This window comes from Homo sapiens, chromosome 18 (assembly GCF_000001405.40).
Source record: "Homo sapiens chromosome 18, GRCh38.p14 Primary Assembly".
Taxonomy (NCBI): Eukaryota; Metazoa; Chordata; class Mammalia; order Primates; family Hominidae; genus Homo; species Homo sapiens.
The window spans coordinates 63,017,160-63,042,706 of NC_000018.10; the positions used below are offsets into that span (position 1 = coordinate 63,017,160).

Genomic DNA, 25,547 nt, shown 5'->3' on the forward strand with positions numbered 1-25,547 from the left:
CTGCCATTTGATTTTGAAGGATCCTAAACCCAAAGTATGCCCAAGGGAATCAGCTTCAGGTGCAGCTTTGTTCTGGTCTCAGAAAAGTTTGAAATTGTTGCTGCATGATGGATCTTTTCCATTGGAACTATTCCCGACTCACAGAGCACAAAGACAGACAGTAATGTTATAGTGAACCACTGCCAGGTGCAGTGGAGAAGCACAGTCAGTTACCTCTGCTGGCCCTTCACAGCTTGTGAGGGCTTTTTAGTTAATTATCTTATGCAGGGAATTAAGCATTTAATGTGACCCTCCTATGGATTGAATTACAGCACCTTTTGACCCTAAGAGTCTATGATATCCCGACAATCTTATGAGGTAAGGATGAAATATAACATCCCATTCAAAGAAGCTGAGGCTCTGAGGGCTGGCTTCTCCAAGTTCATTCATGCAACAAATGTTTATGAGCTCTGTGATAGACCTGAGGAATATTAAGGAGCTCTCAGAATAATAGAGGAAAGGGACATATAAGCTTCAGAACAGAGTGTGATGTGAGGTGCCATGGAGATGTGTGCAAGGTGCCATGCAAGTAGTGAGGAAAGGTTCCAAGACTCAGCTGATGGAAAGTGACCTGTGGCAGCACAGAAGTGGTGACTTTTTAATTGCCTTAACTATCTCCAAGACACCTGGCAAAAGCAAAATTGAAACCACTATGAAGGGACATGTCTAAGATCCAAGCTGCACAGAATTCCCACAGAAGACAAAACAGAATAAAACAAGACCATCTCTGAAAGAGAATTTTATAATAAAAAATTATGAAACACTAAAGTATATATTCCATCATGAGTGAAAGTAAGCATTCATCCCAAACATGGTAGCTTTCAGATAATAAAATGCTCAATTGAAAGAGTATAATATAATATGCTTAAAGTAAAAACCATAGAAGAGAGGCTAACTAAAGAGGACAACTATGACCAGGTGGATTTGAAAAACAAAAAACAAAATAGAACCTCTAGAAATGAAAAATAGGACCTCTAGAAATGAAAAATAGGACTGTTTAAACTAAACACTCAGTGGATGAGGTTAAGCAGCTGCTTAGACACAGCTAAAGAAAGAGTTTGTAAATTGGAAGATGGAGCCAAGGGGAGATAGGGAATATTAAAAGAAACTTAAGAGACATGGGGGTAGAATAACAAGAGCTATCATATCCCTAATAAGAATTTTAAGAGAGAATAGAAAAAAATAAGATGATGGCAATTCTCAAAGAGACAATGGCTGAAATTTTTAAAAGAATTGATAGGAGATATGATTCCACAGGTTCAAGCAGCAAAGAACCCTGAAATAAAAATAAAGGCACAGCTGGACACATGAAAATAAAACTGTAGAATAGCAGAGAGGGAAAAAGGGGATTAAATTTATCTGGATCAAGAAATGAGAGAGAGAGACAGAGAGAGAGGGAGAGAGCTTATCTACAAAAGAATGACATTGCTAGATTAACAACAGCCTCCTCAGTATCTACAAGAGAAGTCAGAAGACAAGGCACAAGCTAACAGAAAATAACTACCAGTGTAGACTTCAAAACCTAGTTAAACTATTTTTCAACTTTAAGGGCAAAATACAGTCCATCCTCTGTATTTGCAGGTTCCACATCCATAGATTCAATCAACCATGGATTGAGAATATTAAGAAAAAAAAGACACAACGATACAACAGAAAAAAATACTGATTAAGAACAACACATATAAAAAGGAGGATATGCATAGGTTATATTCAAATACAATGCCATTTTATATAATGCATTATAACATCTGTAGATTTTGGTATCTGCAGGGAGTTTTGGAATATTCTGCAGATACCAAGGGAGAACTGTAAAGAAATCTCTCTCTCTCTCTCTTTTTTTTTTTTTTTTTTTTTAGATGGAGTTTCACTCTGTCACCCAGGCTGGACTGCAGTGGTGCAATCTTGGCTCACTGCAGCCTCCACCTCCTGGGTTCAAGCGATTCTCCTGCCTCAGCCTCCTGAGTAGCTGGGATTACAGTCAGAGGCCACCATGCTCAGCTAATTTTTGTATTTTCAGTGGAGATGGGGTTTCACCATGTTGGCCAGAGGTCTTGAACTCCTGACCTCAGGTGATCTGCCCTCCTCAGCTTCCCAAATGTGTTAGGATTACAGGTGTGAGCCACCGTGCTTGGCCTGTAAATAAATCTTTAATCAAATAAAAATTGTGAGTTTACTCCTAGCAGGTCCTCCCTGAAAGAAACACTAAAAAGTGTACTTTACAGAACAAAAATAAGTTGAGTATAAAAGGAATGAGTAGAATGCAGGAAGGCTCCTATTTTCCCAGTCATTTTTCTCCCTCCACCTCCTATCTCACAGTTAAAAGGGACTGGTGAGGAGAATGTACACCGGATGGCGATGGCAGGAGAACACAATGGGTCCTTCTGTCGTCCAACTGTCCCGACACTCCCCTGATCTTTGTCTACAGGGCTCACTGTGTTCTGAACACCTCTGGCTGGGGTCCACCTCAGCCCTCCCTCCCAGGGCTGAAGGTGTACGTGGCATCCACAGGGTCCCTAAACTGCATCAGAGGAACTCTAAACTGTGTAGACTGCTCAGGCTCGAGAGATAGCCATAATTTCTGGTTTGGCAAGGGAATCTCCCAGATGTCTTCTGCTATCTCCCCAGCAATATCCCATTCATAGAGGATGCTTGACTTTGGGTTCCCTTTGAATCAGACTCTAAGACAAGATTCCAGATCATGTCGTTTATTTGAAAGATAAGACCCCAGGAGATGCTGGCAGGGGAGTGGGGAAGTGAGACAGGAAGAGAAGGCAGCCAGTAAAGCCTGTGTTATCCATTCAGCTACCACTGTGGGTGACTGAAGCTTAATTCCACTTGGGAAACTCTAGAAGCCAGTGTAGAACACACACATCGGAGTTTTTACCTGAAAAGCAAGGGAGCTGGGGTATATATATATACCAATTGTCAATCATCGTTGGGTGGCTGTTCCCAGGGGCATCAACTCCCTAGCACTTCAGGCAGTGGCACAGGTAGCAAAGGGAGCTCCAGGGCAAGAGAAAGTCCTCAGGCCATGTGCTGGCAGCTACCATGGGAGCCTGTCAGCACTGAAGAAGAAGGACAAGGGAAGGTATATTGGAATCTGGCAGCATCTACTATACCCCCTTAATTCAATACCTTTTGGGCAAATGCACTTTTTTACAGGTGAAGAGAGAAAGACCCCAATAAACTCAGGGCAATAATTGGTTGTCTTCCTCATAGATAATAAGTTCTTTAGAACTTCCTATTTCTTACTGATATTTTCCAAATGAACCCCTGTCCCCAGCTCCCAGTTCTCTGGCAAACATTGGGAGGGGGTGCAGGCAGCCTGGAGCTTTTCACAATCACTAAAGTGACAGAATCTAAAAACGCCCAAGTGCGTGATTTGGCCACTGGCTTTGCTAATGGCCTAGCAGGCAGTCCAGCAGGTGGACCTGTGCTCCGAAAACCACACAGGTGCAGCTGGCTCTGAAAACAGCAGGTGATGAATTCCAAAGAAGCAGGAAATCCAGGGTACTTCAACTTATCACTGACTTAAAATACAAAAACGAGGACACACGTTTATGTTACTGATATTTGCCCAGACTTGAGTACTATAAAAAGAACTGGAGAGAAATAGAATTAGAAACATACCTTTTGGCACTCCTAAAATAAATTGGAATAAAAAGCCTTTGAGAGTGACAGGAAGAGAACACTGGGGCAGATGGCATTGCACTCTGTAATTTAGCCTTGGCCATAACCACAGTTGGGGTGACCTGTCCTAGCTCATAGAATAACTTTAATGACCCTGTTCTTTCCCTTCTTTTGTTCATTTCTATGGCCTACAATTTTATTTTAAATGCATGGTATTTTATAAAGTCTGTAATAGCTTGGATATTTATTATTCAAAAGGAAGGTTGAGTTAGTTACCTCACCTGTAAAGTAAAGATGCTAACCCTTGCACCTCATTTCACCTTCCTCTTGCTCAAGAGGCAGGATCTCAGTTGAGAGCCCTGTATGTCTTGGCAGCTGTAAATGAAACTAGTTAAAAAAATTTATGAATTTTCCCATTTTTACTAGAAAAGAAGAGAATTATATCATCAATGCTTCTGTCCCTAAACCGAGACAAGCCACATTACTTGATGAGAGTCTTGTTATACTTCATTATCAATTTTTCAGCTTTCCATCATCCATTCCACCCATTAATCTATCATTTCATCCACCTACTCATTATTCCGTCACATCCAGCCAGCCAGTCAGTCAACCAACCGTCCTTTCTTCCATCCCAAACTTACTTCCATTTATCCATCCAACCAACCTAAGAATTCCCCTGTCTTCTTTCTGTCCTTTGTCTTCCCTTCTTTCTTTTCTCCCTCCATCCCTTCTTTTCCACCTTTTTTTCATTAGTGCATCACAATCTATCAATCTATCTGTCTGTCTATCCATCCATCCATCCATCCATCCATTTATCACAACCATCCAAAACTAATTAATATCACTGGTCTAAGTACTAAGCTAAATAAGCATTGAAATACAGAGTTAAAATGGTCTTACCGTCAAACAGTTTATCCTTTAATAACATTTTTTAAAATCTAGGAATGGTATCTATTTTTTCTTCTGTTTATTTAAATGGAAATAATTTTCTCTAGAAATATTTGTGAATCTCCTCACATTTAGTAGTAAGGACATTTGTGGGGAAAGTGAAAAGTGAATTCTTGAGAATTGTTCTGCGATTCAATGTGGGGGCCATCAAGCAAGTGGCTTCCAAGGGATGCTTCCCTGTTTAGCGTTTCCTTCTGTGGGTTTTTAAAAATCACCCAGTTTTGTGGGTGAAAATAATATTTCAGTGTTTGCTTTTTGTGAATGTGGCCCAGATTTTCTTTTGGGTTATTTCTTTTTCTTTTCTTCCTTTTTCTGGGAGCTCTTTATATATTAGGAAGATTAGGCCTTGTTTTTTATATGAATTACAAAAATTTTTTTTTCATTTGACATTTAAAAATTTAGCATATAGTAGTTTTTTCATTTTCATGCAAAAGGTTTAAAAATGTAGTGGAACATGTTAGTCTCTTTCTGTATGCTCCTGGATTTCGAAAAGGGGTGTTCTGGAGAGAGTATACCCTGGGCCTCTGCAAACCCATGGGCTCTGGGAGCCCAGAACTGTGCTGCGTGCCGTCCTGACCAAGCACCTGCTCCAGGTGACGGAGGGCGCTGCAGCTCCTTGGATTGGCTGCCTTCTCCTTTTCTTTTTGTTGAGCTTGGTTTCATGGGAACAGGAGCACTGTAAATATCTCACAAATCTATTTCAGAGGGAACGGAATTAGGAGTGGGCTTATGTCAGAAAAACAATACTACCAGGCCTCAGAATTCTGCGCCCTCCCTGCCCCTTCCCGCCTACCGCCCGGGAGGTCTCGCCTTGGGCTGCAGTGTGCGGACCGGCCAGAGGGGGCAGCACGGCCCAGTGGCAGGAGGTGTGCCCCGAGTGCGAGGGGGTCTTGAGCGCACTGCACGTGCTTTCGACTGCACTGAGCACAGCTCGGTAAATTACAAACTACGTCCTACCGAAGCAGATCCATTCGACCTCCCTCAGAAAGGAAGGATGCATGTGGATGATGCGTCTCACTCTTGTACTCAAGGGATCCCCACTCCTCAGCCTCCCAAAGTGCTGAGATTACAGGCGTGAGCCACCGCGCCCGGCCTCAGAATTTCATTCCTTTTGAAAATTCGGCAATATTCCACGAAATATATGTACCATGTTTTGTTTATCCATTCAGCTGCTGATGGACATCTGGGTTGTTTCCACCTTTGGGCCCTTGTAAATAGCTGCTATGAATGCTGCTGCGAACCCTGGTGTACATGTATCTGCTTGAGTCCCTCCCTCCAGCCATTGGAGTGCACACCTCGTAGTGGAATTGCTGGGTCTTATGGTAATTCTTATTTAACTTTCCGAGGAACTGCCAAACTTCTTTTATTTTTAAACAGGAGATTTATTTTTCCTCACTCAGGATCCTGGGCACACATCAGCTTGCTCATTATTTCCCTGGGCCAATGAGCAGGATTTTTCCAGCCTCTTCTCCCTGGTGCATCGCCTTTCTAGGGTCTGGTTCATGCAGGGGCTCAGCAATCTGTCCCACCTCACACAAACCCAAAGCCACACCCCATGAAGGAGAGGACATGTGGCATTTGCTCATGGATCTGTCTTCTCCTTATGTTGACTTTGCAACAGTCTTTGACCCAGCAGCCCGCCTCTTCCTTCTAGAACCACTTTCCACTTTTATTTCCTTCATCGTTTCTCCATCTCTAACAATATAAGTTGTGAGGACAGGGACATTTTCTCTCTTGTTTTCTATTGCAGCCTCCCAGCACAAAATGGTACCTGGCACACAGTAGGTGCTTAGAAATATTTGGTGAATAAGAGAAAGTGCTAAATCTTTTCTATACGTCGTCTCATTTAATGCTTATAACAACTCTATGAAGGGATAATTATCCTATTTTATACTCAAAAACAGGACCAGAGAGTTTAAGTAACTTCCCTAAGGTAACATAGCTAGTGAAATTCCTGTGCTATGTGTTATCCAAACTATAATAGAACAAGCCTGCACCATCTTCCCTGAAGAAAGCTGTTACTCCTCCAACTGCCCACTGGCTGTTCTGGAAAACCCCAGGAATGCTGCCCCTGCGATGGGTGGGTCCCTCCCTGAGTCCTGGGTCTGTACTCAAAGGTTCCCATCCTGTCCCAAAACTGTCCTCCTCTGTGCCCAGAGGAAGGGACCTGGTTCTCCCTTGACTACTCCATCCTCAGCAAGGACCTTCTCCTCTTTAACTTTTTTTTTCTTTTTCTTTTCTTTTTTTTTTTTTTTTTTTTTAGATGGAGTCTCACTCTGTCACCCAGGCTGGAGTACAGTGGCTCGATCCCAGCTCACTGCAACCTCCGCCTCCAAGGTTCAACTGATTCTCATGCCTCAGCCTCCCAGGTAGCTGGGACTACAGGCCCCCACCACCACACCCAGCTATTTTTTTTATTTTTAGTAGAGACTGGGTTTCACCATGTTGGCCAGGCTAGTCTCGAACTCCTGATCTCAGGTGATTCACCAGCCTAGGCCTCCCAAAGTGCTAGGATTACAGGCATGAGCCACCATGCCCAGCCAAGGACCCTCTCCTTTATGTCCCACAGCAATGCAGAGGTCAGGCAGTGACATTTAATAGGACTTTATTCATAGTTTGAGGCTAATGAAAGCACAAAACTGAAAAAAAAAATGACAAACATCCTTGGGCTCAGATCCATCCCAGGGCTCCTCGCTGGGCCACGCTGGCCTCCCAACCAGCCTGGCCCCCAGGGCCTTTACAAGCCAAGCAGCTCACCCGCCTCCCCAGCACACCCCAAGCATCTCTCTCGTGTTAGTCCGCTCGGCCTGTCATAACAAATTACTACAGACTGGCAGCTTAAGCAATGGAAATGTATTTCCTGGAGGCTGGTTCTGGAGGCTAGATGTCTGAGATCAAGGTGTTGGCAGGAATGGGTTCTTCTGAGGCCCCCCTCCTCAGCTTGTAGATGCCGCCTTCTGCCTGTCTTCGCGTGGTCGCCTCTCTGTGTGTATCTGTGTCCTATCTCTTCTGCTTATAAGGACATAGTCACATTAGATTAGGGCCCATTCTGACAACCTCATTTTAACTTAATTGACTCTTTAAAATCTCCACTTCCAAATGCAGTCACATCATGAGGTACTGCCAGCTAGAACTTTAATATATGAATTTGGGGGGGCAGGGGGCCTAGCCAGCCTGTCGCGACTCAGCAGAGAAGTACGTTTGCCCTTTCCCGGGAGTGTAGGGTACTCTGCCCCCATGTCACGGTAATCTTGTTGGCCTCTTCCAAAGACGACTGCCAGTGGCTCTATTTGTTTGTTTCTCCTTATCCAGTGGGGAAAATTCTCGAGTCACATGGCTCTGTGTAAAACAATGGGTGTCTGGTGGGGGATGACGGGCTAAAAGGGCCCACCAAACTGTAAAGTTGCAAAATTCTGTATTTCTAAAATATTTCCAGAGAATATCAATTAGGAGACGATATGGAAAGCGGGGAAGGGTCAAGAGACAGGTTGCTGAAAATAGAAGCCCATCCTCAGTCCGGAATTCTGCCTATCCTAGAGGCTAAGCCTCGCATTTCAGCCCTGTGGGTGGAGCTGTTGCCCATCCTGTGTGAATAGAGTACCTGGCTTCGTGGGTATCAATCCAGGACCACAAAGCACAGCTTTCTTTCTCTCCTGGAACCTTAAATTGAGGTCTGTTCTGTACTCGTCTGTGCGCCAGGTCTTGGCAGCCTTCTCCGGACCTTGGGGCTCTTTGAGTACTTACAGTCTTTGTTCAAATAAGCAGTCTCCTGACGGCTGGCCCAGATGTGGAGCCCACATCTGGAAGCTATCCCTAGTCTTGGCCCAGGCATTCAGGCTTAGGCGATGTGTGTTTCAGGTACAACCACACCCTGCCTGTTGGTCCAAACATAAGGGCCTGTGCAGGGCAGAGGTCTTGGAGGCTGGCGGCTGGCTTGGAGACAGTGTATTAGGTTAAATCCTAATGGGCAGTCATTTGGAAATATACAGGGACCCCCTGCCAATGACTTCATGCTGTGTTCCTGTCCTACCATCCTTCCCTGTTTTTTCTTGGCAGGGCTCGAAGTGCCAGGCCTGCCACAAGCACCCAGCAAGCAACTTCCCTTATCTCTCTGCAGCTTGCTGGTGGGGCATTTATCTTGGCCTATGGGTGGGGAGTGGTTATCCAAACCTCAGACTGAGTCTTCCAGTTGGGAGTTTATAGCTGAGACGTATGGTGCAGGCATGAGGGAGAAATATCCCTACATCACAAAGTGCTGAGTTTAGGAGGGTTCCTATACTTAAGGAAAACTGTGCTACAAAGCCCCAAATGCGGCACAGCTTGCTTCAGACCCACAGCACTTTTCCAAGAAAGGAAATACCCTGTTCATCATCCCCAAGAAGAGCAAGGACCAAGAGGGGTTTATGTGCAGGAAGGAGGGTGGCATTGCTGGGAGTTCGTCTGAGTAAATGCTTGTTTCAGGAGCTTGTGTCAAGCAGTTAGCGCCTGTTGATAGATTTCGGGTATGACAGGTCCAAGGAACCAGGATCCTCACTGAACCTGTCTGGCCTGACCTACGATAGATTTTTTTTTTCCTTGAATCAACTTAAAAGTTTCTCAAGTAGAAAATTTTAAAAATACAGATAAAGGGAAAAAAATCATTCCTCAAATCTCTACATCATAGATGCCAATGTTCACACTTTGGCTTATACACTACTATAATGGACTGAATGTTTATGCTCCCCCCAAATCCACATGTTGACATCCTAACCCCCAGGTGATGGTATATGGGAGGTGATCAGGTCGTGAGGTGGAGCTTGCACAATTGGCTTTTGTGCCCTTATAAAAGAGACCTCGGAGAGCTGTCTTGGCCCTTCTACCACCTGAGACACAGTGAGAAGAGCTGTCTGTGAACCAGGAAGAGGGCCCTCACCAGACACCAAATCTGCTGGCACCTTGATCTGGGACTTCTCAGCTTCTCAAACGATGAGAAATACATGTATGTTGTTTATAAGTCACCTAGTGTATGGTATTTTCTTACAGCAGCCAGGGATGGACTAAGACAACTGCCAGCCTTTCTCTTGTATGTATGAATAAACACTTTTCAAAATAATGACAGGGAATTATTCTGAAATATTATTTCCTAACCTGCTTTTCACTTCACAGATGGTAATAATTTTCTTTTCTGTTTTTTTGTTTGTTTGTTTGTTTTTGTTTTCTTTTTTTTTTTGAGATGGAGTCTAGCTCTGTCACCCAGGCTGGAATTCAGTGGCGTGATCTTGGCTCACTGCAACCTCCGCCTCCCGGGTTCAAGTGATTCTCCTGCCTCAGCCTCCCAAGTTACTGAGATTACAGACGTCCACCACCACATCCAGGTAATTATTGTATTTTTAATAGAGACTGGGTTTCACTATGTTGGCCAGGCTGGTCTAGAACTTCTGACCTCAGGTGACCCACCTGCATCGGCTTCCCAAAGTGCTGGGATTACAGGCGTGAACCACCACGCCCAGCCACGATAATAATTTTCCATGTGAAAAATGGTCTTTTCAGAATCACTGCTGCCTCTTTTTTTGGGGACCGAAAATCTGTGGAGACAGTTTTAGTTGTCATAATAATGAGAGGTGGGAGTGGGATGTGGTGGCAACGTGCAAATGACATTTAGAAGACAAAGGAGTGAAAAATTAGATGTCCTCCAAAACTCGAGTCCAGCCCCAGTTTTGAACATCCTAATGGACATTCATACAGGTAAAAAAAAAATTTATAATGATTTGAAACCCAAACCTAACTTCATTTTGCATATAAGCACGAAGCTTTTTGGTGTGGTTTTAGTATACACTAAATTTTCCAGCAATGCAACTAATAGTGTGTTTAGACCTTTTACTGTGAAATGTTGACTCAACCACCTGGAGAATCTCGTCAGCAATGGCAATGCCAGTGACAGCAGCTCAATCAACATCACAACATCACACCACCTGTATATAGGTGTGTGGTGGTCACTGTATCTGTGATGACTATACATAGAGGTGAATATACTTATTTAGCCTTCTATTTCTAAACATCATATAAATAAAGTGTCTACATTTAGTGGAACATTGTCTTATTCCTACTAAATCTCAACTTATTTAAAAGTAGATTCAAGCATCTGACTTCTTCATTGTATCTTCAAATGTAGTTGTGTCTAAAAATTGCAAATTGACACTGTGATCTCTTGGCAATGCACACTTCTTCTAAGCTCTGCCTTCTGCCTCTGGGGCTGGAAACCTCCAAGTTCCAGCTCCTAGATTCCTTCCCATCTTGCCTCACTTGAGGGTCTGCCAGTAGGAGACACTGGCTTCTGGTTCATCCTGGATCTTATGCTATGAAGGATGGCAGCCACAGCCTGGCTACCAGCGACTCTGAGTAACACCATTTCTGTTTTTGCTTCTCCAGTTCTCGGGGGTAGTCATTCCCTATAGTTACTAATCCTGGAAAACCCTACCTTCATCGATTTGCTCTTCCAGCCTTTCCAAAATCTTTGTAACCAATTCTCTACATTAACTCTCCTCTGAAATACCTACAGTAGTTGTTTTTGTGACTGGACATATATGGATAAAAAATGCATAGGTTTTATTCTATTTGAATTGTTTCTATTATGGTCAGGCCATTGTGTACATTCTTTTAAAAAATTATGCACCTGAGTAAATATATTATCTGTGAATTTAATTTCAGGGTAACAAAAGAGGGGTATTACAAAATATTTATTACTATTATAAAGGGGTGTTGAGCTTGACAGAGTTGAAAACCACTCATCTATGTCATCCTTTTTAGTGACTTCCTTTATCTTCTTACACCTTCCCCTGTTGTTTGACATTCAGGTTACTGCTCACATGTCATCCCCCCATTTATACCGTATTAGTTACTTGTTGCCTTCCTCCACCAAAAGATAAGCTTTATGAGGGCAGCCATTTAATCTGTTGCGTTCACCACTAGACTACTAGTATCTGAATATGTTAGCTACTCAGTAGATACCAAATCAGTACTTGCATATGTTAATTACTCAATAAATATTTTAAAAATAGATGGATGAATCTTTCAGATCTTGGCTTTGACATTATTTCTTCCTGTAAGTCTTTCCTGACATGCCTTGGTCAGATGAAATGTCCATCCTTGTGAATAAAATGATAGCAGAATTGTGGATGAGAACCAAATAACAAGCAAACAGTAACACATAGTATCCAATCAGACCATAGAGAGGTTATTAGAGTCCAAACAAATGATGAAGGAAATTGGTTACAATATGGGTAGGGGCACATCTACCCAACTCAGGTAATAAAGAGGTGAAAAGGGTTTGATTAAAAAGTGGATAAAATAGAAACACGATGCACTGGTTGAAGACTAAATCCCAGTTGAAAAGCGTGGCTTTGGGTTTCTGGTTGATGGAATTGGTTCAGTATATTCACCCATGCTTTGGTAGGGTCAGTCATGCCCACATCCCACTCAATCTCTGACCAATAAGCAATTTCACTGTAGTCCTGAAACTTCATCCCAGTCTTATCAGTGCTGTTCCAAGTGATAAGAATCTGTCCTCTCTACTTAAGTGGCTTTACAGTTCTAAGATTATATTAATATAAGCAGAGAAATGGTGAAGGAAAACAAACCTGTGGTATTAATATTTTGTGTTAAGTTTATTAATAAGTTTTATAATCAGGATAATCTACATAATAAATAAGGGGTAGAAACAATATACATTTGAAGCTCTGATATATCAATTTTGGGATTTCAATTTGAAATACATCATTGGTATTAGACCTGCAATTTTAATTCATAAAGTATAAGATAATTTGATTAAATTTTAAAACAGTATTTGAATGTTTAAGAAAAACTGACCTGAAATAAGTATGGTGTGTGTGCCTGTAATCGCATCTACTCAGCAGTCTGAGGCAGGAGGATCGCTCGAGCCCAGGAGTTTGAGGTCAGCCTGGGAAACATAGCAAGACCCTGTCTATAGAAAAAATAAAAAAAAGAAAAAGAAAATAAAAACTGGCTCACTATGTTTATAAGTTTGATTTGCAAGAGTTTCTTAAGAGTTTAGAAGATTTTGTTTTGTAAATCTGTCCAGTCAGGCATTAAAAATGTTTAAAAGAACATAATTATGTTTGTAAGTTGTATTTAATTGTTTTTTCTTTTCTTTTTTTTTTTTTTTTTGAGACAGAGTCTCGCCCTGTTGCCCAGGCTGGAGTGCAGTGGCACAATCTCAGCTCACTGCAAGCTCCGCACGCTGGGTTCACGCCATTTTCCTGCCTCAGCTTCCTGAGTAGCTGGGAATATAGGCGCCCGCCACTACGCCCGGCTAATTTTTTGTATATTTAGTAGAGACAGGGTTTCACCGTGTTAGCCAGGATTGTCTCGATCTCCTGATCTCGTGATCCACCCACCTCGACCTCCCAAAGTGCTGGGATTACAGGCGTGAGCCACCGCGCCCGGCCGGCGTATTTAATTGTTTAGAAGACTTTAACTATTAAGCTTAAGTTAATTTAAGATTAATCAAAGAACAAGTGAATATCATATTTCTTATTTTTGGACAAAAATTACTAGATTTATAAGTAGGATACAATTTGTAAATTAAACACAAGGGTGTAAGAATATTTACGTTTAAAATTTTACTATTAATAAATTGGTTATTAATTTTAATAATTATAATAAATAGGCCTGTTTACAAACTCTCTGCAATATAAAAATAATTCAGAAGATACTCCCCAAAGAGCATTAGAATTTTTTGTTTAATTTTCCATCTCCCCAGTTTGTCTCTAAATTCTTTAATTTTCCTGGAAAAATCAACTCTCTTTGTGTCAAACATATTTTTATGTTCTTTGTGTAATTGATCCTCTCCATTAATACACAATAATCCAGTTTTTACCACTAATATGGTTTGGCTGTGTCCCCACCCAAATCTCATCTTGAACTGTAGTTCCTCCAGTCCCATGTCATGGGAAGTACCCACTGGGAGATAATTGAATAATGGGGTGGTTACGCTCACGCTGTTCTTGTGATAGTGAGTTCTCATGAGATCTGATGTTTTTATAAGAGGCTTTTCCCCCTTTGCTTGGCGCTTCTCCTTCCTGCTACCATGTGAAGAAGGATATGTTTGTCTCCCCTTCCACTATGATTGTAAGTTTCCTGTGGCCTCCCCAGTCCTGCAGAACTGTGAGTCAATTAAACCTCTTCCTTTTATCAATTACCCAGTCTCAGGCAGTTCTTTACAGCATGTGAAAGTGGATTAATACACCTACTTATTGTATCCTTGGTCTTCTATGATCCTGAATTAACAATAACATTGCCCTAAGCCTGCAACAATAAGATGTATATAGGCAGTCTTCACAGCTTCCCTTAAATTCTGTTTTCCTTCAAGAATACCTGGTAACTTCTTCTAGCAATATGGCAGTCAGGTACACAATGACTGTCCTCACTGGAACAACTAAAATGGTTTTTAAAAAATTTTAAACCAAATTTTATAAATGATTATAAGTGAGGAATACACCAAGTCTAAAAATAAAATAAAATCAAGACCTCTGGGAGGTTAATAAGTTCCAAAGCTAGCTTTTCCTCTAAGGGTTTCCACCAGATCTTAAGATTTCACTTTGCAAGTACCTTGGGTGTAGGGGGCTGGAGATAAAGCCCAGATTCTGCCCAAGGAGGGAATATAATAGGAGGCCCCCATATATAGCTGGGACTTACACTGCATATGAGTGAGACATAAGCCCCACTGCACAGAAATTTATAGCAAAAAATTTGCTTTTCTCAGCCTTGCTGACAGGTGGAGAAGGAAAAAAATATATCCCTTGAGAATTTGCAACCATATGCCAGCCCTCATGCAAGATTTTATCTTAACTAACCACTTGTGTGATCTGGAAAACATCAAGCAGACTTTAAATTAAAATCCTTTGTTTGTAGCATCTCCAGATGATTCACAGAAGTAAGCGACCTTCCTAAAGAAAAAAAAACATAATTTAATTCAGTTCTGCAAGAATTCCCACAGGTAAAGTTGCAAAGAATATAAGTGGCTTAAAAAATTATGAAATTTATGAGGAATCAAGTTACTATGAATGAGAAGAGGCAGAAACAACAGATAGTAGAAATAGATCTTTTAAAAGTTCACATACTTATTTTCAGATAAAGAATACTCATTATCTACATCTAATATGTTCTTTTAAAATTAAAGATTTATAATCCCATGTAGATTTCAGGAAAAAAATTAAGTAGAAGCTTGGAAATTTGGACAGAAACATGTGGATTTAAAAACAAATCTAGTAGATCGTCAATAAATGAAAATTATAGCAATTACATACATATTACATTATAGCAATTATATATATATATACTTTTTTTTTTTTTTGAGACTGAGTCTCGCTCCGTCACCCAGGCTGGAGTGCAGTGACATGATCTCAACTCACTGCAACCTTCATCTCCTAGGTTCACACAATTATTATGCCTCAGCCTCCTGAGTAACTGGGATTACAGGTGTCCGTCACCACGCCTGGCTACTTTTTGTATTTTTGGTAGAGATGGGTTTTCACCATGTTGGCCAGTTTGGTCTTGAACTCCTGACTTCAAGTGATCCACCTGCCTAGGCCTCCCAAACTGCTGGGATTACAGGCGTGAGCCACGGCTCCTGGCCACAATTACATTTTTTAGAAAGATCAGCGGAGTAACTAATTAGGTAACAGCTAACATGGGTATTTGTTAATTGGAAGATGGGTGTGAAACAATTTAGAATGCAGTCTAGGGAAATAAAGATCAATGGATGAATGGATAAAGAAAATGTGGTGGCCAGGCATGGTGGCTCATGCCTGTAATCCAAGCACTTTGGGAGGCCAAGGCAGATGGATCACCTGAGGTCAGGAGTTCAAGACCAAGCTGGCCAACATGGTGAAAACCCATCTCTACCAAAAATACAAAAATTAGCCAGGCATGGTGACACATGCCTGTAATCCCAGCTACTTGGGAGGCTGAGGCAGAAGAACTGTTTGAACCTGGGAGGTAGAGGTTGCAGTGAGCCAAGATCATGCCATTGCACTCCAGCCTGGGCAACAGGAGCAAAACTCTGTCTCAAAAAAAAAAAAAAAAAAAAAGAAAAAGAAGAAAATGTGGTGTTAATATAAATACACAATGGAATACTATTTGGCCATAAAACAATAATGAAATCCTGTCATTTGTAGCAACATAGATGGAACTGGAGGCCATTATGTTAAGTAAAATAAGCCAGGTACAGAAAGACAAATATTGCATATTCTCACTCGTATGTGGGACCTAAAAAAGTTGATTTCATGGAGGTAGAGAGTAGAATGATAGTTATGAAAGGCTGGAAAGGATGTGCATGGGGGAGGAAGAGAGGTTGGTTAATGGGTTCAAATATACAGTGAAATAGAAGAAATAAATTCTAATGTTTGATAGGAGAGTAAGGTGACTATAGTTAACAATCATGTATTATATATTTCAAGATAGCTAGAAGAGAGAATTTAAAGGTGTTCCCAACACATAGAAATGATAAATACTCAAGGTGGTGAATACCCCAAATACCCCGACTTGATAATTACACATTCTATGCATGTAACAAAATATCACTTGTACTCCATAAATATGTACAAATATGTATCATTTTTAATTTTTTTAATTTTAATTTTAATTTTTTTTTTTTTTTTTTAGATAGAGTCTTGCTCTGTCACCCAGGCTGGAGTGCAGTGGTGCAATCTCAGCTTACTGCAATCTTCGCCTCCTGAATTCAAGAGATTCTCCTGCCTTAGTCTCCTGAGTAGCTGGGACTACAGGCGCCCACCACCATGCCCAGCTAATTTTTGTATTTTTAGTAGAGATGGGGTTTCACCGTGTTGGCCAGGCTGCCCTCAAACTCCTGACCTCTGGTGATCCACCTGCCTTGGCCTCCCAAAGTGCTGGGATTACAGGCATGAGCCACCGCACCCAGGCTAATTTTTTTTTTTTTAAATTAGGCAACATATAGAAGATTGAGTATATATTCTCTTCACAGTAATAATACACTGTAAATGCATAACAGAAATATAACTAGAAAAATTCCAAATGTTGGAAAATTAAGCAACATGTTTCTACAACCTGTGGTTTAAAGAAGAAATTACAGTGGAAATTACAAAAAATGATATAGAAAATATAAAGCAAAGGTTAAGAAAGATGGTGTACAACATGAGAATGTTTAATACGTGTCTAATCTGAGTCCTTAAGTAGAAAACAAGAATGAAGAATAGATAGCATTCAAAAAATAATTGCTGAAAATTTTCCAAAACTTTTTGAAATATACAAATCCTATATCCATCATAATAGAGCTAAAGAGTAGCAAAGGAAAGGACAAAATCTTTTTTTTTTATTATTATACTTTAAGTTCTAGGGTACATGTGCACAACGTGCAGGTTTGTTACATATGTATACATGTGCCATGTTGGTGTGCTGCACCCATTAACTCATCATTTACATTAGGTATATCTCCTAATGCTATCCCTCCCCCCTCCCCCGACCCCATGACAGGCCCCAGTGTGTGATGTTCCCCTTCCTGTGTCCAAGTGTTCTCATTGTTCAATTCCCACCTATGAGTGAGAACATGCGGTGTTTGGTTTTCTGTCCTTGCGATAGTTTGCTGAGAATGATGGTTTCCAGCTTCATCCATGTCCCTACAAAGGACACGAACTCATCCTTTTTTATGGCTGCATAGTATTCCATGGTGTATATGTGCCACATTTTCTTAATCCAGTCTATCATTGATGGACATTTGGGTTGGTTCCAAGTCTTCGCTATTGTGAATAGTGCCGCAATAAACATACGTGTGCATGTGTCTTTATAGCAACATGATTTATAATCCTTTGGGTATATACCCAGTAATGGGATGGCTGGGTCAAATGGTATTTCTAGTCCTAGATCCTTGAGAAATCACCACACCGTCTTCCACAATGGTTGAACTAGTTTACAGTCCCACCAACAGTGTAAAAGTGTTCCTATTTCTCCACATCCTCTCCAGCATCTGTTGTTTCCTGACTTTTTAATGATCGCCATTGTAACTGGTGTGAGATGGTATCTCATTGTGGTTTTGATTTGCGTTTCTCTGATGGCCAGTGATGATGAGCATTTTTTCATGTGTCTGTTGGCTGTATAAATGTCTTCTTTTGAGAAGTGTCTGTTCATATCCTTTGCCCACTTTTTGATGGGGTTGTTTGATTTTTTCTTGTAAATTTGTTTGAGTTCTTTGTAGATGCTGGATATTAGCCCTTTGTCAGATGGGTAGACTGCAAAAATTTGGAAAGGAGAAAACCTCAAAAGCAGCTAGAGAGACAAAAGAAAGATCACCCACAGCAAAGTGATCATTTGACTTACTACTGATTTCTTAGTCACAATAATGGAAGCCAGAAGACAGCAGAATACGTTGTCAATATGTGAAAGAATTAAAATATCTTATAAGAAGGAGACCAAAATAAAGACATTTTAATATAAATAGAAACATAAAGAGTTTATCATAAAACAACAACAACAAATCTCTGACTAATGGAAATTCTAAAGGATTTATTTCAAGCCAAAGGAAAGTGACTTCACTTGATTGATAGTAATATCTAATTTGTTTTTTTGTTGTTTGTTTTTTTGTTTGTTTTGTTTTTGAGATGGAGTCTCACTCTGTCGCCCAGGCTGAAGTGCAGTGGCGCGATCTGGGCTCACTGCAAGCTCTGCCTCCTGGGCTCACACCATTCTCCTGCCTCAGCCTCCCGAGTAGATGGGACTACAGGCGCCCACCACGCCCGGCTAATTTTTTTTGTATTTTTACTAGAGAAGGGGTTTCACCGTGTTAGCCAGATTGGTCTCCATCTCCTGACCTCGTGATCCGCCGGCCTCGGCCTCTCAAAGTGCTGGGATTACAGGTGTGAGCCACCGCGCCCGGCCTAATAATATCTAATTTGTAGGGAAAGGTAAGGATTAAATAACGGGCAAGAATAAAATATAAGTGGGGAGGAGCATGACTGTAGTTAAGGCTTTCTAAAGTCCTCAACAGGAGCATAAAGTTATTAATTAACTTTAAATGTTGTTAGCATGCTTGTTTGTCCTAGAGTAACCACTAAGAAAAAGACATATTGCATCATACTTTCCAAATAAGTGGAGGTGGGAGGAATGAAATAAAGAAAAAAAAGAAACATTTTAAAGAAGTAAAGAACGAAAAAACTACAAAATAGTAGAACAAATAGAAAGTACAAAATAAGATGTGGATAAAAATCCAGTAATTACTATAAATGTAAAAGAACTAAACTTTCTGGTAAAAAGGCAAAAATCGCATGGCTGGATTTTTTGTTTTAAGTGTAGGTGTATGCTGTTTAAGAGACATACGTCTTAAGCATAAGAGTACCGGAAGATTAAAAGTCAAGAATAAAAAAAAATCATACACCAAGGTAATGCTAACCCAAAGAGAAATTAAGTAGTGATATCAATATTAACATCAGACTAAGTAAACTTTAAGGCAAAAAGCGTTACTAGCACTAAAGGCCATGACATAATGAATGATGAAAGGTCCAATTTTCCAGAAATATGTAACAGTTCTCAATTTGAATGGAACTAACAGCAGACTCTCAAATGCACATAAATCAAAAATTGACAGCTCTACCAAAGAAGCTACCAAATTCACCATCTCTGTGGGAAACCTTAACATACGAATTTTGGTAAATATTCCATAGACTATACTCTTTAATCACAATTCAATAACTTAAAAACCTTGTGCATTTGGAAACTTACATAAAACACTTTAAATCTGTTAATGTATTAAAAACGAAATCACAATGGAAATTAGAAAATATTGGAGCTAAACTGTAACTGAAAGTTACCCATCAACATTTGTCAGGTGCAGCTAACATGATACTTAGAGAACAATTTATAGTTCTAGATGTTTGTATTAGGAAAGAAGAAAATCTAAAATGTAATAAGCCTAAGAGGCAACTGAAAAATTCCCATCCCCCCTCCGCCGAAAAAATATCAGAATAAGCCAAAAAGGGAAGAAATATAATAAAGGTAAAAGTAGACATTAATGAAATAGGAAATATATATAGTGAGGTTCAACAAAGCCAAAAGCTCTTTTCTAGGGGACAAAATTCCAAAATAAACATTTAGCAATATTAGTCAAGAAGAAAAGAAAACAAACACAAATAATAGTAGGAATTTAAATAGGGATTATAACTACAGATGCCGCGGAGGTTGAACAGATAGGGGAGATTATAGAACAACAGTAATTGTTGTATGTTGTCAGTGATCTTGAGTAAGTCTATTTTCTCCTTTATAAAATGTTTGAATTCGCTCTGATCTCAAATGTCTCCGAAAGCAGTGCTTCTCACAGTTCAATGGGGATTTCATTAAAATGCAGATTCTGACTCAGTGAATCTGGAGTGGGACCTGGGAATCTGCATTTCTAATGAGGGCCACCCCGCCCCCGCCCCGGTGATGTAGATATTGCTGGTCCATATTTGAGTAGCAAGGCCTTTAGACGCCATCATCCCTTACATCAGTATCACTGTCTTTTTAGACCAGTTCCATCCTGTATTTTGTGTTGCCTTTTTGCAACATTCACTCCCAACTTCCCAAATTCTTTCTCATGCCACCCAGATCTAGTAAAGCTAAGATTCATCAGAGTCAAAACCTTAAGTAACCTTTAAGAAGCAGAACAAAAAATAATGTAAAACAACCCCAGGACCCTCTAATTTTACTACAAGCTGTAACTAAAAGGACATCATTGCTAAAAAAAGGACACCTACCATTAAGCCCCCTTCTTTCTTTTGTTTTGTTTTGTTTTGTTCTGTTTAGATGAGCTGATTTACTCTACATTATGGGAAATGGGTGAATTGAAAACTGTCATATAGACACAATAGGTACCAATACTTGACTTACAATGATATACAATTGCATAATGCATTCATTGACGATAAACACTGTGGCAATTTTCTTTTTAAAGAAATTCCACTATATAAGTGGAATTTCTATTTGTCTCCACCCAGTGTTTCTGAGGCTTATCTTAATTATCCCAACATCATTAGCAGTTGAATAAAAAGTCAGTTCGATGTGCAGTGTGAGAGAAAAAAGTCTCCACAATAAAGCCTTCTAAAGCATGAACTTTAACTTCAGACTCCCTTTGTGTAAGTCAAGGAGAAATTGATTAAGTCATTTTGCTTGAGTGCACAAAATGAGAATTTTCTCTTACTCACAATCCCTAACAATAATAAGGGTTGTCATCTTTAATATTTAAGCCCAAGGCTAGAGGAGAAAAGGTATTTATGTACATATATGTACAGTCTGGCAAATATTAGCCATCTGTCCCCACGTACCTGGAACCAAGCAGAAAAATAAAGTAGGTTGCTCTGGCTATCCCAGAAAATGGGTAAGGAGAATTTTTAAATAAAACATGACATATAGTCACTGGCATGGCTGTCACCTGAGTGTCTCATTTCTTACTGCTGCTGCTGGTGCTGTTTGCCATGTCCCACTCCAGCCTGGGCTGGGGGTGAATGAGCAAGAGGAGACATTTGATGGAGGTCAGGACTGTCATTGGAACATTAAAGGCTAGAGGCCTGTGGAAGTACCCAGTTATTTATGCCATCTTCAGATGGGTTCTAATTAGCTGTGCCTCAGCACAAAATTCAACCGAAAACCAAGTAAGCCATTTACCAAGTCCAAAGTGCCAGCGTTCTTCTTGGCATGCACCATGAATCAAATGCACTGTGAAATCTGAGTGCGAGACCCGGGGCCAGGACCACAGAGCACTCAGCTATTGAGAGCATAGTTTTCTAGTTCTCTCCTTTTGGTCATGGAATCCCAGCAGAGACACAGTGATGGAGGGCTGGACAGTATCTATATCACCAATAACATTTGTATCCCAGGGTAGGTGGGAAACCGCCACCAAAACAGAGAAATAGACAAATAATTTCTTCAACCCTAGCACCTCTGTATAAGTTTTTCCAAGGAAATCTAATCTCATATTGAATACTGGGGACTTTTTTGATATATGGTTAAGAAACAGTCTTGCGAACACATTCCCTCATCAGGCTCTCCCGGCTCTCTGTGAGGTAGGATTGCTCCCACACTTTCACAGGTGAGCCCTGAGATCCAGACAGGTTCAGTAAGAGAGGCAAGGCCCCAGGAATTGGGTCAGCCTCTTCATTCAAACCCAGGTCTCTCAAATTTCACAGCTCCATGCATCTGCCCAACACAGCCATGCAGAGATGGCTCTGCTCTTACAAGCGCCAGGGGTCTCAGAGCACAAGTAAAAAAAATTGTACTTTCAACAAATTGCTCTACTCAGTCACGCCTAGGGAGTCAACCTGTTCTTCCCCAGAGGTGTGGATTTTGTGTGTGAAACAATCTAGTCACCGAAAGCTGTTGGACATAATCATCTGTGACTCTCTCCAGGGTTCATGAGAGGACGGAAGCTGTCTGTCTTGCTCACAGATACATCCCATGGCCAGAACAATTCCTAACACTTAGTTTGCACTCAACAAATATCTGTCACTGACGGCTCAAGAGCTACCTGCTCAAGGAATTCATTAATTCTTGGATGAATAAATGAGAGTTCAGGAAAGGACCAGAAAGTATGAGATCATCCCAAGGGTCTGGATTATGATGTAAGCCTCGTTCTTGGAAAGCCCATTCTGGGACAGATGGGATACCCTCATGTATATGGTAGGCCCAGGGGTACGAGATTGTTCTCTAGTGCATTCAATTAGAAAACAAAATTAGGAACATACATATGAAAGCCAATTGTTTGGTATTTTTATCTCTCTCTTTTTTTTTTTTTTTTTTTAACGGAGTCTCACTCTGCCATCCAGGCTGGAGGGCAGTGGGGTGATCTCGGCTCACTGCAACCTCCACCTACCGGGTTCAAGCGATTCTCGTGCCTCAGCCTCCCAAGTAGCTGGGACTACAGGCATGCCCCCTTCACACCTGGCTAGTTTTCACATTTTTAGTAGAGATGGGGTTTCACAATGTTGGCCAGGCTGGTCTCCAACTCCTGACCTCAAGTGATCTGCCTGCCTCAGCCTCCCAAAGTGCTGGGATTACAGGCATGAGCCACTGCGCCCGGCCTATTTTTACCTCTTTTGAGAAGTATTCCCTGAATAACCACACATCAGATTGATCGGTCCCTCACCTTCTCAGCCTATTAACTGATTCACAAAGCAATTCTTGAGCACTTTCAAGAGACCAGGCACTGTGGTTACAGAGGGGAATTAAAACCTCTGGACTCAGAGTGCCTCATGGTGAGCAGATAAGGAAACCAGGTAATGTGATAGATTTCTGGTCAGTGTGGTAGAGGAATGCATGCGAAACCTCCCCTTTCTAATGCCAAATATATATTTGATATATTTATACATGGAGATGATAGAGTATATATTTGAAGGATTAAAATATACAGTCACTAACTTAGCTTCCTGGGGATGTCAGGACAAAAGACCACAAACAGGGCAGCTTAAACAATACAGATGTATTGTCTCACAGTTCTCAAGGCTGGAAATCCAAGATCAGGGTGTCGGCAGGGTTGGTTCCTTCTGGGGACTGTGAGGAAGGCCCGTTCCGAGCTCTTCCCTGGCATCTGGTGGTTTGCTGGAATCTTCAGCACTCCTTGACTTGTGGAAGCACCGCCCTGGTGGTGCGCCCTGTGTCTCCTCACATTGTCTTCTCTCTGGGCATCTCTGTTTCCATAGTTCCCCTTTCGGCAAGGACACCAGTCAAATCCTAGGGTCCACACCCATGACCTCATCACCCCACTGACCTCATTTTAACTTGATTACCTCTGTAAAGACTCTCTTTCCAAATAGGTCACATTCTGAAGTACTGGGAGTTAGGACTTCAACATATCATTTTGGGGGACATTCAACATATCATTTCAGCCCATAACAGTCACAGTAAAAATAAAACAAAACAAAAACTAGATGTAAATCTCTGTGGACCAGGAGTGGAGACCCCTGTCGTGAGCAGGGGCTGAAGCTCTGGGTGAGCAGCCTGGAAGCCAGCAGTGGTGTGAGAAGAAGTCAACCCTATGGAGGAAGGGGGCTGGGCCACCTCCTTGGACAGTGAGAGTCAATGCCAGGTGCCCTGCCTGCTGGAAACTCCAGCCTGTGACCATTCTTTGCCTGTGAATAAAGCTAGAAAAGCTCCCCTCCCCCACTGCAAGGTTGCAGTAAGAAACAAGCAGTTTGCTGGGGTGGAAGGAGGCTCTAGACATGAACACGTGTCTGCTGGAGCCCTGATGTGCCCCAGAGAAGACTGCGCTGAGCTATTGTGGGCATGAATCCCAGGTCTGACCTGTCCTCCTAGGAGGCTGCACGGGAGCACTCAGAAACTTCCAGATACAGAAAGGTAAATGGAGAAGGGCAAGGAAATGTCCATGCAAGCAGAGTGTGCAAACTTACCATACAACAAAACTTACCATACAACAGGTGGGAAAATCCAACAGCAGAACAAAAGAACCAACAAAGCCAATAGCAGAGGGGAAATCATGCCTCCCAAAATAGAAACCAGAGAGCAACCAGGAAGGGACTTTCCCAAAGAGAAAGGAGGGGAAGTCATTCATAAATAGGAACAGGTGTTTACATCAGCAAATCACAAGCCCAAAGATGTTATGTGAAACGTATATGCATCACCTCTCCCTTCTGACACTTCTGATAAAATAATAGTAAGGAAGTAAAAAGGAATAAATCCCTAAGGACAAAGAATATAGAAGAAAACATCAGTAGAGAAGAGAGTTCAATGAAATTTTTCAGGACAAAAATTAGATGGACAATTGTCATTGACTTAGCAGAACTGAGAAAGACACAACCCAAAGTGCACTTAGAGAATGGAATCTACAGTAAGAAGGTCGTGGTGAACCCCAAGAGGTCAGAATGTGGGGGTACCAGGAATGTCAGACAGAGGGGCTGGGATACCCAGTTGAAAGCAGGGTCTTGCGTGGGGAGTCAGAGAATGTTTAACCCTCTTCTGCTGTCTCAGACAGGGTGCTAGCTGCCAGCCACTGCTTCCTGGCAGGAGGCTTGAGATCTATTTTCTGAAGGAACTGAATTGGAGGAGCTTAGCTTAAAGCCATTCACAAAATGGAGATGGGGATGAGGCTGAAAAGAGGGAGAGAATACTCAACGTCTGCCAATGGAATGGTCTTTTAGCCTGAGGGCAGGTCACAAGTAACCCACACCTTCTCTTCTCTCCACTTTCAGGAGATGGGAGGATTTCTCCTCCTTGGATTCCCTGGATAGCTCTAGGGAAAATATCATTTAGGGGACCCTCAAGGAACCATTAACAGATTCCACCTTGCACACAGAGCTTCCATTTAGTCTTTGATGATCTTCAATGCCAGACAACTGAGGTTTTCCAAACACACCAAGAGAACCCTCAACACGAGGAGGCCCCAAGTAAACAACTGCAAAATGGAACTCATGCAGGGAAGAGAGAACATTTAAAAAAATAAAGACCCAAATGCTATCCTTAGAAGCAGGAAACATTGCAGTTCTAAAACAAGGATAAAATGCTATAAAATGGTAACAATCAGAGATGAAGAATGCACCCTTGAAATTTAAAACAAATACAACACCAGATTTTAAAAAATTCACTGTAGGTGTTGGTACACAAAGCTGAGTAAATTAATATAAATGATAAAAAGATAGAAAATATGAAAGAAAAGAGACATGGGAGATTTCTGAAAGTCTGATTCATAGGGGTTTCAGAATGAAAGCACAGAGAAAATGGTCAGAAAAAATAATCACTGGGCACTTTCTAACACTGAGACTTAAATCTCTAGACTGAAAGAGCTGACTGAGTTATCAACACAGCAGAAGGAAAAGACCCACATCAAGGCACATTGCTGTGAACAATGAAGATAAATAAATGTCCCCAAAAGCTTTCCAAGCAGAGAAAAAAGCAGAGCATGGCATCAGACTCCTCAACAC

General features: G+C 41.3%; 1 annotated feature.

Annotated features, from left to right (window-relative positions):
• Positions 24,029–24,278: an enhancer, noted in NCBI's record as "active region_13438". NCBI's record gives its function as "activates an Ori minimal core promoter by ATAC-STARR-seq in GM12878 lymphoblastoid cells {active_cell/tissue: GM12878}" and the evidence as "EXISTENCE:reporter gene assay evidence [ECO:0000049][PMID:35858748]".